The sequence below is a fragment of the Homo sapiens genome, chromosome 3 (assembly GCF_000001405.40).
Source record: "Homo sapiens chromosome 3, GRCh38.p14 Primary Assembly".
Taxonomy (NCBI): Eukaryota; Metazoa; Chordata; class Mammalia; order Primates; family Hominidae; genus Homo; species Homo sapiens.
In genome coordinates, this window is record NC_000003.12 from 57,852,550 (window position 1) to 57,872,548 (window position 19,999).

At 36.9% G+C, this 19,999-nt stretch overlaps 1 protein-coding gene across 48 annotated transcripts in view; it reads left to right on the plus strand.

Annotated features, from left to right (window-relative positions):
* Positions 1 to 19,999, plus strand: part of SLMAP (sarcolemma associated protein) — a 173,705-nt gene that overhangs the window by 96,241 nt on the left and 57,465 nt on the right. For 11 of the 48 annotated variants that reach the window (XM_005265456.5, XM_005265468.5, XM_017007155.3 and 8 more), the window contains exons 7-14: positions 5,184 to 5,279; positions 5,539 to 5,610; positions 8,150 to 8,290; positions 9,400 to 9,537; positions 11,999 to 12,167; positions 12,258 to 12,308; positions 12,693 to 12,743; positions 19,087 to 19,149. In XM_005265456.5, the coding sequence (XP_005265513.1) occupies positions 5,184 to 5,279; positions 5,539 to 5,610; positions 8,150 to 8,290; positions 9,400 to 9,537; positions 11,999 to 12,167; positions 12,258 to 12,308; positions 12,693 to 12,743; positions 19,087 to 19,149 (781 nt within the window). The remainder of the gene's footprint in view (positions 1 to 5,183; positions 5,280 to 5,538; positions 5,611 to 8,149; positions 8,291 to 9,399; positions 9,538 to 11,998; positions 12,168 to 12,257; positions 12,309 to 12,692; positions 12,744 to 19,086; positions 19,150 to 19,999) is intronic. The other 37 variants (XM_005265470.5, XM_011534105.3, XM_047448893.1 and 34 more) reach the window with 7 other exon arrangements.

The following is a 19,999-nucleotide window of genomic DNA, read 5'->3' on the forward strand; positions in this document are numbered from 1 at the left end:
ATGTAAAGCACTTAGAACAGTTCCTGGCACATAGAATGTATGCCATAAATGTTAGTAGTTTACCATTCAATAGGAAGGCACATTAATTAAGCTGCTTATTATTAGAGGTGGAAGAAAACTTTGAGATTAATGTAGTTTAAACCTCATTTTTCATATGAGAAATGTGGGGCTCATATAGGTTAAATTATTTGCCCAGGCATGTATACTACTGTTACTAGTCATCGTGGATAGCAAATCTCACTCCCTCACTCTCTCACTCTTTCCAACCTTCTTGTTCTGTGAATATCCCTAGTGTCCTAATCCTCTGCTGTTCCTTTTCTAGCTCTTTGAGATAAAATTATACCAGTCTTTTCTGTATATGTTCTTATTGAACTGCTAAAGTTCTAATGTAAATTGTGAACATTTTAAGTAAAAACTGGAATAGATGCATTTTATACCTTAGAACTAACTAAAAGACCATTCCTGGACATATTAGATTTCTGTTAGGATATAGTTCATGGAGTTAAACTCTAAATGGAATTGAATTAAAAAGGTGAAATTACACCATCTAGTGGAAGTAGATTCTAAAGATATGGTTGGTTGATGGTTTTGTTTTTCAGTAAAACTTTTTGCAGCATCTGAGTGATTTCCTGAATGTTAGGAATGTTTTAGGAACTTAAACTTGGCAAATAGTCTCTTAAGTGAAGCTGTGTTTTAATATGGATTCTGAGGTGTATGGCTTTTTATTAGATTCTTTAACCGATAGCTTTATTATAACCTATAGCTTATATTAAAATGTAGTACCTCTAAGTAGACAAAATTTTCCGTAGTCATTATTTATCAAGGATGTGGAGAGCAATAAATTAATGCTTTAAACCTCAAGTACTATGTTTGAAGTGTATACTTCTCTGTTGAGGTGTCTCAGAGGCGTTAGGGTCATAAGTGTTCCTCTGGATAATGACAGGAATAGAACAAGGTGAAGAAGGTATGCCAAAACCACAACTAAGTGCTATGAGCATTTCACCTTGATTCTGAGTAAAGGAGTCTCGCTTAACAGCTATTAACTGTTAACAAGCCACCTAAAGTTTAGACTTTGTACACCAATGTCTTTCTCTGTAAAATATATCTTTGGGCTGGGCACGGTGGCTATGCCTGTAATCCCAGCACTTTGGGAGGCTAAGGCGGGCGGATCACCTGTGGTCAGGAGTTCGAGACCAGCCTGACCGACATGGAGAAACCCCCGTCTCTACTAAAAATACAAAACCAGCTGGGCGTGGTGGCGCATGCCTGTAATCCCAGCTACTCGGGAGGCTGAGGCAGGAGAATGACTTGGACCCAGGAGGCGGAGGCTGCGGTGAGCCGAGATCATGCCACTGCACTCCAGCCTGGACAATAAGGGTGAAATTCTGTCTCAAAAAAAAAAAAATTATATATATATATATATATATATATATATATATATATATATATATTTACATATAATATATATTATATATAATATATAATGTGTATATATATACACATAACATATATAACACATTATATATATATATTATGTGTAAATATATATGTATCTTTGGATATATATATCTTTGGAGCTGCCAAATAGTTATTTAATTCTCCCATTATAAGTCCCTTAATTACATTGAACCAATATTCAGTGGACTCTTACCTATTTTGGTATATTAATTACTGCTAAGTGTTATATAGTCAGAGAGAATCAGAACACCTGAAAATGCAATAGGCTGTGCGAGTGAAGCAATCTCTCTTTTTAAATGTATATATTGGCCGGGCACGGGGGCTCTTGGCCTGTAATCCCAACACTTTGGGAGGCCGAGGCAGGCAGATCACTTGAGACCAGGAGTTCAAGACCAGCCTGGCAAACATGGAGAAAGCTCATCTCCACAAAAAATACAAAAATTAGCTGGGCATGGTGGTGTGCACCTGTAGTCCCAGCTGCTCAGAAGGCTGAGGCATGAGAATTGCTTGAACGCGGGAGGTGGAGGTTGCAGTGAGCCAAGATCATGCCACTGTACTCCAACCTGGGCTGCAGAATGAGACTCTGTCTCAGAAATAAAACAAAAATGTATACGTTTATATAAACAACATTTTTAAAAGGAAAAATTAAAAGCTATTTCTATTTTGGATATCATACTTGTGCAATTAAGCCATTATAAAGTATTTTTGCTGATGACCAGATTATCTTGGCTTCAGTTGGAATGAGTTTGTTCTGAGATGTATATATTTCACATATATTCACATATATGTGTATGTGGTTGTATATATACACATGTATACATGTATATACTATCATGTATCGCTTAACAGGCATATGATCTCATTAGGTGATTTTGTCTTTGTGTGAACATTATACATTGTACTTACATAACCTAGATGGCGTAGCCTATTACACACCTAGGCTATATAGTGTAGCCTATTGCTCCTAGGCTACAAACCCATACAGCATGTTATTGTACTGCATACTGAAGGCAGTTGTAACACAATAGTATTCGTGTTTAGAAACATATCTAAACACAGAAAAGGTACAGTAAAAATAACAGTATAAAAGATAGAAAAAGGCTGGAGGCAGTGTAATCCCAGCACTTTGGGTGACCGAGGCAGGAGGAACACTTGAGGCTAGGAGTTCGAGACCAGCCTGATCAACTTGGCAAAACCCTGTCTCTACTAAAAATACAAAAATTAGCTGGGCATGGTGGCACATGCCTGTAGTCCCAGCTACTCGGGAGGCTGAGGTACCAGAATTGCTTGAACCCAGGAGGCAGAGGTTGCAGTAAGCCGAGATCACACCACTGCACTCCAGCCTGGATGACAGAGCAAGGCTCTGTCTCAAAAAAGAAAAGAAAAGAAAAGAAAAAGATAGAAAATGATATACCTGTACAAGGCACTTACCATGCATAAAGCTTGCAGGACTGGAAGCTGCTCTGGGTGAGTCATTAAGTGAGTGGTAAGTGAATGTGAAGGCCTGTGACATTACTGGACATTACTGTAGACTTTATAAACACTGTACACTTAGGCTGCTTTAAATATATATTTAAAAAGTTTTTGGGGCAGGCATGGTGGCTCATGCCTGAAATCCCAGCACTTTGGATGGCTAAGGTGGGAGGATCTTTGAGACCAGGAGTTCAAGACCATCCTGAGCAACATAAGAACGCCCCATCTGTTAAAAAAAAAAAAAACAAAAAAAAAAACTTTAAATAAAAATATTAGCTGGAGGTTGGGTGCGGGGACTCACACCTGTGATCCCAGCACTTTGGGAGGCCAAGGCGGGCGGATCACTTGAGGTCAGGAGTTCGAGACCAGCCTGTCCAACATGGTAAAACGCCGTCTCTACTGAAAATACAAAAATGAGCCAGGCGTGGTGGTGCTGCATGTCATCCCAGCTACTCAGGAGGCAGAGGTGAGAGAATTGCTTGAACCCAAGAGGCGGAGGTTGCAGTGAGCCAAGATCGCGCCATTGCACTCCAGCCTGGGCAACAGAGAGAGACTTCGTCTCAGAAAAAGAAAAAAAAAAAAATTAACTGGGCATGGTGGTGTGTGTCTGCCTCCTAGCTATTTGGAGGGCTGAGGCAGGAGGATCATAAGCTCAGGAGTTTGAGATTACAGTGAGCCATCACTTAGTGACATCATCATGCAACAGCACTCCAGCCTGGGTGACAGACCTAGACTCTTGTCTCAAAAAAAGAAAAAAAAGTTCTTCTTTCTTCAATAATAAGCTAACCTTAGCTTGCTGTAACTTTTTTACTTTATAAACTTACAAGTTTTAAAACCTTTTTGACTCTTGTATTCACACTTAGCTTAAAACACAAACACGTAGTACAACTGTTCAAAAATATTGTTTCTATTCTTAATTTATAAGCTTTTTATTATTAAAAATTTTTTAAACTTGCTTTTACTTTTTAAACTTTTTTGTTAAAAATGAAGACATAAGCACACACATTAGCCTAGGCCTACACAGTATCAAGATCATCATTATCACTATTTTCCACCTCCACATCATATCCCACTGAAAGGTCTTCAGGGGCAGTAACATGCATGGAGCTGTCATCTCCTGTGATAACAGTGCCTTCTTCTGGATACCTCCTAAAGGACCTCTCTGAAGGTATTTTACAGTTAATGTTTTTTTCTTTTTAATAAGCAGAAGGAATGCACTCTATAATTAACAATAAAAAGTATAGTACATGCATAAACTGATAAAGTCATATAATACTATTATGTATTATGTACTATATATAATTATATGTGCTATACTTTTATATAACTGGCAGCACAGTAGGTTTGTTTACACCAACATCTCCTCAAACACGTGAGTAATGCCCCCTTGTGTTACAATGTTAGGATGGCTATGATGTCATTAAGCGATAGAAATTTTTCAGCTTCATTGTAATTTTTGGGGACTACTGTGTATATGCAGTCTATAGTTGACTGAAATGTTGTTTTGTGGTGCATGACTGTGTATGTGTGTATGCATAGATATATGTCTACATACACACAGTGTGTATGTATGTGTGTGTGTGTATAAAATGCAAACCTGAAACATTTGTTAGCTTTTTCTATTGTATGTTTTTAAAAACTTGCTCTTCCAAATTATGAATAAAAAGAAAACAAAAAACAGGTGACTTGTTTTCTATTATGGGAGAAGTTGCAGTTAGAGAACCTCTAATAGCAGTACTTTCAGCCCAACAAATGAGACTAAAATGATGTGGCCCATATACATGGAGTAGCCATTTCCTATCTGCAGGGAATATGTTCCATGACCCCCAGTAGATGCCTGAAATCACAGATAGTACCAAACCCTATATCTACTATGTTTTTTCCTATATATACACATACCTATGATAAAGTTTGACTTATAAATTAAGCATAGTAAGAAATTAACAATAATAATAAAATAGAACAATTACAACAGTATACTGTTATGTGAATAAAAGTTATGTGAATGTCAACATTCTGTCTGTCTCTCTCAAAATATCTTGTACTGCACTATAACTGAAACTGTGGAAAGGGAAACCAGAGATAAGCGGGGACTGCTGTATGTTTTACAAAGTACTATCAAGTTTCACTACTTTAAAATACATCAAGTGGGATGTAATATGAAAATATTTTAGAATATGCTGAAAATTGATCACTCCTCAAAAGAATCATGATGAGCTTATTAGAATCTGTTTTGTGATTTGTAATACTAGGAGGCCTTACATCGGGAACAAATGTTGGAACAGAAGTTAGCCACGCTTCAGCGGCTACTAGCCATCACCCAAGAGGCTTCAGATACCAGTTGGCAGGTATTCCAGTTGTTTTATATTTAAGAAACATTTAAACATAGTTTAATATTCCATACATGTTAAATAAACTAAAATGTAGCAAACAAAGACAAAGTTATTTCCTAACTAATGAACAAGTTGTTGAAGATTTAGCATTTTACAGTGGATGCTGGTCAGTTTTACGCTTTTATATCTTTTGTTGTCAGTAGCAACCTTTTTTTATATACATGTGACTTTATAATTACTCGGGTTTTACTTACATTTAATTTTTCTTCAATAGGCTTTAATAGATGAAGATAGACTCTTATCACGGTTAGAAGTTATGGGAAACCAATTACAGGCATGCTCCAAAGTAGGTATTAACCTCAAATGTGTAAAATGAAATGCATAGTTTTTTATGTAACATCATTTCTTTGACTATCATTTTGAGTATATGCTAAAAACTTCATACATTTCCACAATTCTTTTAAATCTTTTGTGCTGAGAAACGTCAGACATCCATGTAAATAAAAATAATTACATAATGAATACCCATGTACAAGTCTGTCTTTTTTCTATTGCAGTTAATATTTCTTGAAAAAACTGGGTCATTTGTCCTCTAGAATTTCCCTCAGTCTGCATTGTTATTTAAACATTTTTTAGCTCCCCCTCCCACTCCATAAAGTAGTAGTTCCATCTAGAGATTTGATGTGATTTAGGTTCAGTTTTTCTTTTTGTCAACAACACTTTATGGATGGTATTGTGTTCTTCCACCAAGGGACAACATAATGTCTAGTTGTCTTTCTTTTTGAGATTTTTATCAATCATTGATGATCCCAGGCTAGATCCATTATTTCATTACGGTTACAAATAAGGCTGGGCGCAGTGGCTCACACCTATAATCCCAGCACTTTGGGAGGATGAGGCGGGCGAATCACCTGAGCTCGAGAGTTCAAGACCAGTCCAACCGACATGGAGAAATCCCATCACTACTAAAAATACAAAATTAGCCGGGCATGGTGGCACATGCCTGTAATCCCAGCTACTCAGAAGGCTGAGACAGGAGAATCCCTTGAACCCAGGAGGCAGAGGTTGCAGTGAGCCAAGATCGTGCCATTGCAATGTAGCCTGGGCAACAAGAGTGAAACTCTGTCTCAACAACAACAACAACAACAAAAAAGTTACAAAAATAATGATGTAATTCTGTTATTCCTTCACTTATTTAGCTGGGTTACTTCTATAAAGAGAAGTTTCCTTCCATACACAGTGGCTCATGCCTGTAATCCTAGCACTTTGGGAGGCCAAGGCAGGCGGATTGCTTGAGGTCAGGAGTTCAAAACCAGCGTGGCCAACATGGCGAAACCCCGTCTCTACTAAAAGTACAAAAATTAGCTGGACATGGTGGCATGTACCTGTAATCCAAGCTACTCAAGAGGCTGAGACAGAATTGCTTAAACCCGGTGGGGGTGGAGGTTGCAGTGAGCCAAGATCGCACCTCTGAACTCCAGCCTGGGCGACAGAGCGAGACTGTCTCAAAAAAAAAAAAAAAAAAAGCGGGGGCAGTTTGAGACCAGTATGGGCAACATGGCAAAACCCAGTATCTACCAAAAATTAAAGATTTGCTTAGCATAGTGGTACATAACCTGTAGTCCTAGCTACTCGGGAGGCTTAGGTGGAAGGATCGCTTGAGCCCAGGAGTTTGTGATTACAGTGAGTTATGATCGCAGAACTGCGCTCCAGCCTTGGTGACAAAGAGAGACCCTGTCTCTAAAAAAACGAAAAAAGGAAAAACAATGGCCATTGTTTTTTGTAACTTTGGCATCAAAAACCAAATACCACATGTTCTCATTTATAAGTGGAAGCTAAGCTATAGGTATGTAAAGGCATAAAGAGTGCTATAATGGACATTGGAGACTCAGAAGTTGGGAAAGTGAGAGGGGAGTGAGGGATGAAAAACTCCCTATTGAATACAATATACACTACTCAGGTAATGAGTGCACTAAAACCCCAGACATCACCACTACATAATTCATCCATGTAACCAAAAACCACTTGTATCTCTAAAGGTATTGGAATAAAAAAATTTAAATAACCCTGAGGTATGTTTTCTACGGGGAAAGCAAGATAAGTGATTTTCTCCCCTTATTTATTAGATTTCAGAATAATGAATTGGTGGTTTTTCATCTACCAAAGACTGGCCATGAAGTGTTTTCTCACTCCACTTAGATTTAAACATATTTGATGTATTTAAATCTGGTGCAGTTGTTTTTCTTGTTTTAGAGACAGGGTCTTGCTATGTTGCCCAGGCTGGTCTTGAACTCCTGGGCTCACGCAATCCTCCCATCTCGGCCTCCCAAAGTGCCACGGCCAGCCTATTTTTCTTATTGATGCTCAAATTATCCCATCTTTGGTCTGTGTAAATGTCTTCAGAGTGATAGCTTCATGCTGTCATTTCAGACAAGATGTTTCAGGCTCATTTTGTACTTTTCCTGCCCCAGACATGAAGTCTGCTTTTCCCCCATGGTACTCTTATTCCTTTTGTTTTAACCATTGTTTCAGAATGCTTGGTGCCTTTGAAGGTAATTGATTATTTTTGCCTACAAATGTGAATATGGTGGCTTGCAGAAAATATGACAAATATAAAAGTAACTAATTTTGTATATTTTAGGGAAATTCTCAATTGCCTATAACTTTTTTTTTCTATAGGAAGTGGAAATTAGTAAGTTTGTGAAGGCATAATTTACTTATGCAACTTGTAAATACATCTTTAGTTAATACAGGGCCAGAATCATTTATGTTTGGAGGTACCTTAATATATAATTTAAAGTATATCATAATGTGTTAATTTTTTTCAAACAATAAATGCTTTTAAAAAATAACTTGTCTATAATTATAAATATCTTTTATTGTAGAATCAAACAGAAGATAGTTTACGAAAGGAACTTATAGCATTACAAGAGGATAAACATAACTATGAGACAACAGCCAAAGAGTCCCTGAGGCGGGTTCTTCAGGAGAAAATTGAAGTGGTTAGAAAACTTTCAGAAGTTGAGGTATTTCAATCAAAAAAAAAATACTAAATAGTATTATGAGTGTTCAAAAAAATCTCAAGCATTCCAGGATACTTTAAACTTGGGTATTATTATATAGTTAGGAAATACTTTCTGTCTGTCAGGTGGGAAGGAACAGTTACGCTGCTTTCATTGACAGCAATTCTCCATGTGAGTTTTGGTACTTACTCCCTAGTCAATGGCTGAGGAAATAAAAGCGTAACCAGGGAATCTTATTGTTTGCATTCTGCTTAGGATTCACCCTCCATACAGCAGACCATGATATGTGCTGGGGAATTGATTTCCTGTCACTTGGTTTTGCTTTGCTTCTATTTGAGGGGGGTCAGTGTAAGGCCAAGAGTCTACACTACTTGTTCTTTTTTAATTCACTCTGCAGAGAGGAAAACTAGCTGTGTCATATATTTAGGAAGTTCAAAGGTGAAATCATCTCCAAGGTCCTTTCTAGGTCTTGGAGGAGCAATCAAAATGCAATTTTTATTGCTTTGGGGAAAAAAATTCTAATTCATAATATAGATCTTTTCTTTGAACCACTGCAAAATTACCACATAAATAATGTATTACTAGAATTAGTTAAAATGCTCATCAGAAACTAAATGGTAAACATACCTTTCCTTACTACAGGTATAGTTTGTATTGCTACCTCATCCCATAGTGCCTGATTCACTGTTGTGTGATTAATTTGATATATAAAGAAAGTTACTAAGTGTCTTTTAATTTTTTATTAAATTGATTGCTGGATATTATTAAACTTGCTTTCAAGGATTGATAGGCTTAAAATATTTTCACAGCTAAAAGTCATACCCATTGGCCTTTCAAAAATGTAATTATATAAAGGCAGCATCCTTTTCCTGCCCCTGCTCTCCCTCCACTTTTATTTTTTTGTTGTTTTTGTTAATTCTTAGTTATGTTTTCTGTTTTAGTGTGAATTGAAATTCTTATGTTATTTGACTCAGCTTTATTTAAAGTCCAGGGCAGATGTTGATTTAGAATAGTCCATAGAATTATACTTTTTATAAATTTCATTTAGAAGGAATTCTAAATAACAAATATACACTTATTCTAATTAAATTGCCTGTAAACTTGAATCGCAGCGAAGTCTGAGTAATACTGAAGATGAATGTACCCATCTGAAAGAAATGAATGAAAGGACTCAGGAAGAATTAAGAGAATTAGCCAACAAATATAATGGAGCAGTTAATGAGATTAAAGATTTATCTGATAAATTAAAGGTATGTATTTACTCTGCCTGAAAGTATGTTAAGCTAATAATCCCTAACACACTAGATAGCTTAAGATTTTAGGTATTGCTTTAGCTGGGCGTGGGGTGGCGGGCGCCTGTAATCCCAGCTTCTCAGGAGGCTGAGGTAGGAGAATTGCTTGAACCCAGGAGACGGAGGTTGCAGCGAGCTGAGATCACGTCACTGCACTCCAGCCTGGGCGACAGAGCGATACTCCATCTCAAAGGAAAAACAAACAAACAAACAAACAAAAAACAGTTTGGGCCAGGCGCAGTGGCTCACGCCTGTAATCCCAGCACTTTGGGAGGCCGAGGCGGGCAGATCATGAGGTCAAGAGATTGAGACCATCCTGGCCAACATGGTGAAACCCCGTCTCTACTAAAAATACAAAAATTAGCTGGGCGTGGTGACACATGCCTGTAGTCCCAGCTCCTTGGGAGTCTAAGGCAGAAGAATCACTTGAACCCAGGAGGCAGAGGTTGCAGTGAGCCAAGATTGCACCACTGCACTCCAGCCTGGCGACAGAGCAAGACTTCGTCTCACAAAAAAAAAAAAAAAAAAAAAATTCAGTTTGAAAACCACTGGTATAGATAGATATTTTGAATTGATTTGCATAGTCTCCTTGAATGTGTTAAATTATGCTGAAAGTATGAAAGCAGGATGTAGGTGGTACTACATATTAAATAAGATTTCTATAAAAAAAGATTTTAGGTATTGCTGAATAGTTATTGATGTAAAAATTTGGTAACAGTTGAAATTTATAGTGAAAATAAGGTGTCTGTATTCCATTTAGCCCAACCTCCATTACTATAGATAATTGAAAGCCTGTAAATGCTGACATAGTTCCTCTGGATGAATATGTAGTCAGTGCTTCACAATAGACATTTCTAAAATATATAACAGGAAGTAGATGAGAATCAGCAAAACCCATGATATTCAGATGTTTTAAAACCTAAAACTGCTTATCATTAGGCCATCTAAAAGGCAGGGCCCAGCTATTTAGTGCTGTGCTGGAACAAGCCCAGAGAGAATCTGGGAATGATCTCCCTTTTAGCTTTCAGGGATGCTGTTAACTCTGCTTTAGCTGCCATTCCCTCTATCTATGAGACATCTAGGATAAGGACAGATCAGATCATAGGGTAATGATAGGGTAATGTCTAGTTGGTCCTTTAGAATCTTATAACTGAGGAAAAAAAAAATCTTATAACTGTTTGTGAAGGTCCATCTTGGTTTAATTCAAACTATGGATTGAGTGCCTAGAAGATATGTGTTTGTTAGAGAAGACCAGAGCATACCTCCGTTGGTTAACCTATGATAGTTTTCAAAGTTGGTCTTGTTAAAAGGAGATTGTCATTGTCCATTTTTGTTGCTATAAAGGAATAGCTGAGCCTGGGTAATTTATAAAGATAAGAGGTTTATTTGGCTCACAGTTCTGCAGGCTGAAGCTTCAGGCTGCTTCCACTGATGGCAGAAAGCAAAGTGGAGCTGGTACGTGTTCCATGGTGAGAGAGGGTCTGGGAGAGGTGCCAGGCTCTTTTTAAAAACCAGCTTTCATAGGACTAATAGAGTGAGAATTCACTCATTACCATGAGGACAGCACCAAGCCATTCATGAGGGATCTGCTCCCATAACCCAAACACCTCTCATTAGACCCCATCTCCAACACTGAGGATCAAATTTCAACATTGAGGCTTGGGGGACGAACATCCAAACTATAGGCAGAGAGGTCTTTTTGAATAGTGATTGTACTGTCATCTCGTTACTAAATAATTTTGTTTAAAATTTCAGAATGTTAACATGATAGAACTTCAAAATTGAAATGATAGTAATTTTAGGGAAAAATCTTACTTCCCTCTTTAAAAATACGATTTTTTTTTCCACATTGACCCTTTACCTCTGTGTGTACTGAGCCTACTTGCTTCCTCCAAGTTTCTCTCTCCTGGGTGTTATGGAGGAATAACCCAATGCAGATAATTTTTGACATCAAGCCTTTGTCTTTATCATCTTTACTGGTTTAGAAATGTCAGGTTAGCCGGGCGCAGTGGCTCATGCCTGTAATCCCAGCACTTTGGGAGGCCAAGGTGGGCTGATCATCTGAGGTCAGGCGTTCGAGACCAGCCTGACCAACATGGAGAAACCCCGTCTCTTCTAAAAATACAAAATTAGCTGGGTATGGTGGCGCATGCCTGTAATCCCAGCTACTTGGGAGGCTGAGGCAGGAGAATCACTCGAACCCGGGAGGCGGAGGTTGCCTAGGCAACAAGAGTGAAACTCCATCTCAAAAAAAAAAAGAAAGAAAGAAATGTCAGGTTTACAGATAATGTTCTGTAGAACATTTCTTTTCTACAGAACAAACTTTTCTTAGAAGTTTAAGTGAATAAAGGCATTCCTGGGGCTCGCTCTTAAAACAGAGTTAGGTTTGTTAAATAACTGAATTTTCTTATTTTTCTAGGTAGCAGAGGGAAAACAAGAGGAAATCCAACAGAAGGGACAGGCTGAGAAAAAAGAATTACAACATAAAATAGATGAAATGGAAGAAAAAGAACAGGAGCTCCAGGCAAAAATAGAAGCTTTGCAAGCTGATAATGATTTCACCAATGAAAGGCTAACAGCTTTACAAGGTAAGTAGCTAATCCAGAAATTGATTTTATTTTATTTTTTTTCTTGTTATCTGTGAAATATCTTTTTTTTTTTTGGACTTTTATTTACAGTACGGTTAGAACATCTTCAGGAGAAAACTCTTAAAGAATGCAGCAGCTTGGGTAGGTGGCATCCATATTTCTTACTTAAACCTGAATTTTATCCTTAAACTTTTGACCTTGTTTACTGTCTCACACTGCATTTTTTAAGGGATGTTTTATGTATTAGGTATAAAGTATCTATATTCTTTTAGAAAATTTTCTTTAAAAATATGCTTGATTGCCACCAGTGGGCACCATTGTTTTCCTTGAGATGAGTGAAATTTCTGCTCTGAGATCTTCTACCTCGGGATATTTAAATAAGAAAAGTACATGAACAGCAGGATCCCTTTTAAAGTGTTCTATACAATCTTAATCTTAGGAATGCAGAATGCCATGGTTACACTTGAGACCACATTTAAAGTAATACTTCTTTGATCAGGCAATGATATACTGTCTTAATCCTAGGGATACAAGTTGATGACTTCTTACCTAAAATAAATGGGAGCACAGAAAAAGGTAGTGTAAAAAACTTAAATATATATATACTTTTTATGATATCATTTTAGTATTTAAGCAGGATAAGGAGTTCAGGGTTTTAAGTGTTTGGAATGAAAAGCATGCTCTCACAGATCATTGAACCCCATCATTTAAAAATCAAGCTTTCCTTTATTTTGTAAGAGTTGATGCTGTGATCAATTCTTAGATATCCCTTGTTATATGGAAATTTCAATTACTCAAATCAGAAAATTATTAAGTTCACCTTTAGCAATATATAATATAGATCTTTTTCCCCACTCTGTTTTTCGAAGAGCTGTACTACCATTTTGTTTCATCAAGTTCTGCCTCCAGTGATACTTGACCCCCATTTAAAACATTCGAGTTTATTTAACAGCTTATTGAGCCCTTGGACATATCATAGAAACTACTTTGTTTATCCATCTGTTTCATTGATCAGAGAGAACAGGGTCAGTTTTTTCTGCCATCAGAAAAATCTTTTATTAGTTGTTGGTTCTGTGACCCTTCTTTCTGGACAGCGTGGGTTCTCTCTTGCCAAAAACATATAGCCACTATTGGTTTTCCTGTCACTACACGGGGTACTTTTTACCCAGTGACCTCTATTATCCTTCAGTCTTGAAGATCCCTAGTCATTCTCCTTCTCTCCCCTTCCATCTAACATTAATTGAGCACCAACTATGTGCCAGACCCTGCGCTAGGTGCTTGGAGTACAGTAGAAATTAAACTCTTTTCTGTGTTTACCAATCTATGTGCCTTTCATCTCAGTTTTCTACAGAAGTTAGTCGAAGATATCAGAGTTGATACCCAGAACTTATTAAATATTTTTTCCCTTAGCCAGGCATTGTGGTGTGCGCCTGTAGTCCCAACTACGTGGGAGGCTGAGGTGGGAGGGTCAGCTGAGCCCAGGAGGTTGAGGCAGCAGTGAGCCATAATTGTGCCACTGCACTCCAGCCTGGGTGACGAGCAAGGCCCTGTCTTTAAAAAAGAAAAGAAAAGAAAAGAAAAGACAAAATATTTTTTCCATGTATCAAGGGATATCATAATAGTTCTTGGGCAGCAATCAAACTGGTAGAGTTAGGAGGTGGGTTTTTTGGTTCTTTTTTGGTTTGGTTTTGTTTGGTCAGGTTTTAATCAAGAGCTGGCAGTATAGGCTCAGGTAATTGTGTGTATGTTAGCTGCAAGGTCAAAACCTTATTTGCATATGTAATGAATTTTGAAACTCTCAAGAAAAATGTTCATTAATCATTGCTGTTTGACTATTCTACGTATGTTTTGTAAAATGCATTGACTTTTTAAAATTCCAATTTGATGGAATTTAAATTTGAGAATTTTTAAAGGTGTAGTTTATATTCATTGCGATCAAGCAGATCGCTTGAGCTCAGGAGTTTCAGACCAGCCTGAGCATCATGGTGAAACTTTATCTCTACAAAAAATACAAAAATTAGCCACGCATGGTGGCCACACACCTGTAATCCCAGCTACTCAGGAGGCTGAGGTGGGAGGATCACTTGAGCCCAGGAGGTCGAGGCTGCAGTGAACTGAGATCATGCCACTGCAGGCGATGGGAGTGAGACCCTGTCTCAAAAAAAAAAAAATCATGTCCGGGGCAGTGGCTCACACCTGTAATCCCAGCACTTTGGGAGGCCAAGGCGGGTGGATCACTTGAGGTCAGTAGTTGAAGACCACCAAGGTCTGGACAACTTTGTGAAACCCTGTCTCTACAAAAAATACAAAAATTAGCTGGGCGTGGTGGCACGCTACTGTAATCCCAGCTACTCTAGGAGGCTGAGGCAGGAGGATCACTTGAACCTGGGAGGCAGAGGTTGCAATGAGCCCAGATCGTGCCACTGCACCCCAACCTGGGCAACAGAGTGAGACTCTTGTCTCAAAAAACAAAACAAAACAAAACAGTCAATCAGTCATCACCCTCTTGATTTTATATTAATAATGTTAGTATTAACCCAAGCTGGGAACCTGCTATTCATTCCTTCAGTTAAGAGAATCGTTTTATGTACATGGAACCATCTTTATACTATTTAGAGTTGTAAAATTACTGATTCATTTTTTTCCAGTTCCAGTTGGTTCAGATGAAAATAATAGTAGACTGTTTTCATATTGTATTAATATAATTGTTAAAGACTCCTTGATTTTAAGAATAAATATTTTAGATACTTAAAGGTAACTCCTTGCCATAATTATTTTTTCCTTATTTGTGTGCTTGCTTTTTTGGTGGTGATATATTGAGTTACGGTATGATAGTGACTAATAGAATATTTTAAAAGAAACTAAGCAATAAATTTCTAGATGTACACGAAAACTTAGTTAAGGGTGGACTTTGGAATAAGATGCGTCACTTAATTCCATTCCAAATCACTTATAATAATGAACCAATTTTCAAGTATCCCAGTATTACCAATGTCCATACCCATATTATATAATTTTAACTAAATTATTCTTTAAATAGTAGAGAGCCAAATATAGTTGTAAGAGAATATTTTTAAATATCTGAAGATGTTAAAATTAATAATACTAATACTTTCAGTGAATCCCATTTTAAAAATTAAATATAATGTAGCTACTAAAAGCACAGGTTTTGTACTGTAAATTTTTTGTGTGTCTTATCTAATAAGCATAAGCTGAATGTATCTTAGAGAGTAAAGGACAGTGTTGTCCGAAATAAACATAAGGCTGGGTGTGGTGGCTCACACCTATAATCCCAGCACTTTGGGAGGCCAAGGTGGAAGGATTGCTTGTGTCCAGGAGTTCAAGACCAGCCCGAGCAACATAGTGAGAACCCATCTCTATAAAAAAATTAAAAATTAGCTGGGCATAGTGGTGTGCACCTGTAGACCCAGCTCCTCAGGAGGCTAGATGGGAGAATCACTTGATCCCAGGAGGTCAAGGCTGCAGTGAGTCATGATCACACCACTGTACTCAGCCTGGGTGACAGAGTGAGACCCCATCTCAAAAAAATAAAAAATAAACATAATGAGAGCCACATACATAATTTTAAATTTTCTGCTGGGCAAAGTAGCTTGCTCCTGTAATCCCAGCAAGGGAGGATTGTTTGAGCCCAGAAGCTCGAAACCAGCCTGGGCAACATAGTGAGACCCCATCTCTAAAAAGAAAAAAAAAATTTTTTTTTTAAATTAGTGAGGTGTGGTGGCATGTGCCTGTAATCCCAGCACTTTGGGAGGCTAAGCAGGGAAGACTGCTTGAGGCCATTAGTTTGAGACCAGCCTGGGCAACATAGTGAGACTTCTGTCTCTACACAAAATTTAAAAATTAGCCAAGTGTGGTAGTACACACCTGTGGTCCTAGGTAGTTGGGAGGCTGAGGAGGGAGGATCCCTTGAGCCCAGAAATTCAAGGTTGCAATGAACTATGATTGTGCCACTGTACTCCAGCCTGGACAACAGAGTAAGACCCTGTCTCTTAATTTAAAAAAATTCTGGCAGCCACATTGTATTAGTCAGGGTTCTCTAGAGGGACAGAACTAATGGAATATATATATATATATATATATATATAAAATATATATATGTGTATTATATATAAAAATATATATTATATATGTGTGTATTATATATAATATATATTATATATATTATATATGTGTGTATTATATATAATATAATATATGTTATATGTGTGTATTATATATAATATATGTGTGTATTATATATAATATATATTATATATGTGTATTATATATAATATATATTATATGTGTATTATATATATAATATATATTATATATATTATATATATAAAGGGGAGTTTATTAAGTATTAACTCACACAATCACAAGGTCCCACATAGGCCATCTGCAAGCTGAGGAGCAAGGAGAGCCAGTCTGAGTTCCAAAACTGAAGAACTTGGAGTCTGATGTTCGAGGACAGGAAGCATCCAGCACAGGAGAAAGATGTAGGCTGGGAGGCTAGGCCAGTCTCTCTTTTCACATTTTTCTGACTGCTTATATTCTAGCTGCACTGGCAGCTGATTAGGTTGTGCCCACCCAGATTAAGGGTAGGTCTGCCTTTCCCAGCCTACTGACTCAAATGTTAATCTCCTTTGGCAACAACCTCACAGACACACCCAGGATTAATACTTTGTATCCTTTAATCCATTCAAGTTGACACTCAGTATTAACCACCACACACATTAAAAATATAAAAAGCTGGGTGCAGTGGTACATGCCTGTTGTCCCAGTTACTTGGGAGGCTAAGGTAGGAGGATCCCTTGAGGCCAGGAGTTTGAGGTTGTAGTGCACTACAATCACACCTGTGAATAACTACTGCACTTGATCCTAGACAACATAGCAAGATCCCATCTCTATTATATATATATATATATATATATATATATAATATATATAAACAAAACAAATTCTAATGATCTATTTTGCCTACAGCATCCAAAATATTTCAATATTAATAAATATTAAAATGATTAATAAATTATTCATAAAATTTCATATCACTGTTTTCTTACTAATTCATTGAAATCATTGTACATTTGTTTTATGCTTAGGACATCTCAATTAGAGCTAGCCACATTTGAAGGGTTTAGTAACTACAGTAGCTAATGGCTATAGTATTAGATAACACAGGTATATAAATAAAAATCCATAGGAAACTCATTTATATAAATAAAATGTATTTTAAGTAGAGTGGTTCTCTATCTTTTTATATTAATATCAGATTTTATCTAAACCAGTTTAGTAAATATTTTAATGTAGAGTTCAGATAAAAGTGTGATTGTTAGCTTTGTAAGTAATGGTAGGATGTCCCTCTTTAATAAATGTCATCTTAAGTTCTTTGATATTAGTCTGAAATATGTTTCAAATATGTTTTGTAAAGTCCTTTAGTTAAGTTAAAATATCATTCCAAATGAGTTTATATATATATAACATGATGATGTAGTTTGAGTTTTTAAAGTGTTACCATAGCTAAAATGGGATTTATGAAAAACAACTTTTTATCCTGGCAATTACTATTATACTGAGGGCTCCCGTTTTGCTTTTCCTGGATCCAGTTGTCAAATTCTTATTTATTAGATTTTTTTTAAATTTCAAATTTCTGTTGCTGTTAGTATTTTTTTCTTTTTGAGGCTATATTGTATCACTATATAGTATTCTAGGTATGTAGTGCATTGGTCTCTCCAAAACACAAGTTTTATCAACCTTTTTCCTCCATGTTTTTGTCTTATACTGATGGTGATGATAGATGAGAGGCTCTGCACACCATGTAACTTATTAAAGCATAATGATAAATTTTAGTATAGAATTAAAGAAGGTAGCCAACAGGAAGGATGTAAAGAGAGGTAAGGCATGATCTAAGTAGGTAGTGTCTGCCTCTCATGCAAAGTTGAGACGACTGAGGAGTAACGTGGCCTGAGGTGGACGAGAGGGGAAGGAGGTTTTTATAGAGAGAATGGTGCCAACTCATGTGTCCCCTTTGACAGATTCTAATGCTTTCACACTTTCCAAGTAGTCATTATGTCAGAATATGTTTTTAACACTTCAACTTCCAAAATAGATTTGGTCATTTTGAAAGATATAAATACACGTTAAAGGACATTATCCAGATTCAGAAGTAACTCTTTAAATCACAATAAAGATTATTGTAAGAAAAGAACTGAAACTTTTATTTAACCACTATGTTACATTTTTATTGTCTCCATTCATTTCTTTAAATGAAAAATAAATTCTGTTTGACTTGAGCAAAACCATTTACCAAGCTCTTACTTTGAAATGAATAGGCACTGATTTTGGTCATTTGGGCAGAGATAAACAATTTAATGTTTTAATACTGTATGAGGTACAGATTAAGTGACTCAAAAGGGAAGATTATGAAATGAATATGTAAAACTTATTACATCAATTTCTTAAAAATCTTATGGTATTACTTTATGATATTCTTAAAGTATTTACCTTTTGCCTCTTAACTAAGATGAATAGCTTTGAAGAGGGAGTATGATAGAACAATCACTTGAAAATTAATTTAATTTAATAATGACAAACTTAAATTATTTAAGGGTATTTGTTGAGTTCTAGTGGACAAAAGGTGGAAGAACCATTTTAAAGCAATATATTTATGTGATTTTCTTGAGCTCTTTGGATAAAAACTACACCTTTAAAAGCTAACCATTCAGTGTACAAATTAATAATAATTTTCAGTCATTTAACTCCAAAATATGTCTGCTTTAGTATCAAAATATATTAAGCCTTTATTAGTCTTACTTAGTACCCATGTTAATACTTTTCAGTTTTCCTACCTTTGCTGTTGGTTTTCAAAGACAGCAACAAACTATATCCTTAAAGGTGTTTCTTTCTTTATTAGAGCACTTGCTTTCAAAGAGTGGCGGGGACTGCACTTTTATTCATCAATTCATAGAATGCCAGAGTGAGTACAGAGTATTTTTCACATTGATTTTAATGAAGTCAGGGGCTAAAACTTAAAAGTGAGAGGTAAAATGAGGATCTCAATGTGTTTGTTATAGCAGAAGTGCTTAAAGGGGCATCTTTAGACAGCAGCAAACCTTTTCATAACTATTTGTCTTTTGAGAAAAGTATTTCTGTTGCATTTGCCTTCACAGATGGAGCTGAGCATTTCATAATAGCTACCATAAAAAAGAGGGAAACTTTCAAGCTTGTTAAATTTGAGGTTCTTAAATAAATTTCTTAGAGAAAATGAAGCCAGAAAAATAATTATTTAGTTTGGGCACTCCATTCTGAAGATGGCCCTCAGAGTAGCAGGAGCTTTTTAGAGAGGTAGTAGCAGTAGATTGTCCTACAATCTGACCTCCACTGCCTATCCGTGGGAAGTTGTAAAAGGCTATCTTTAAGAATATTTTAAAGAGGCCAGGCGTGGTGGCGCACGCCTATAATCGCAGCTACGTGGGAGGCTGAGGTGGGAGAATCGCTTGAACCTGGTAGGCAGATGTTGCAGTGAGCCGAGATCGCACCATTGCACTCCAGGCTGGGCAACAGAGCAAGACTCTGTCTCAAAAAATATATATATTTTAAAGATGGATTGGCTTGGCTGGGCACAGTGGCTCACACCTGTAATCCTAGCACTTTGGGGAGGCCGAAGTGGGTGGATCACCTGAGGTCAGGAGTTTGAGACCAGCCTGACCAACATGGTGAAATACCGTCTCTACTAAAAATACAAAAATTAGCTGGGTGTGGTGGCAGGCGCCTATAATCCCAGCTTCTTGGGAGGCTGAGGCAGGAGAATTGCTTGAACCCAGGAG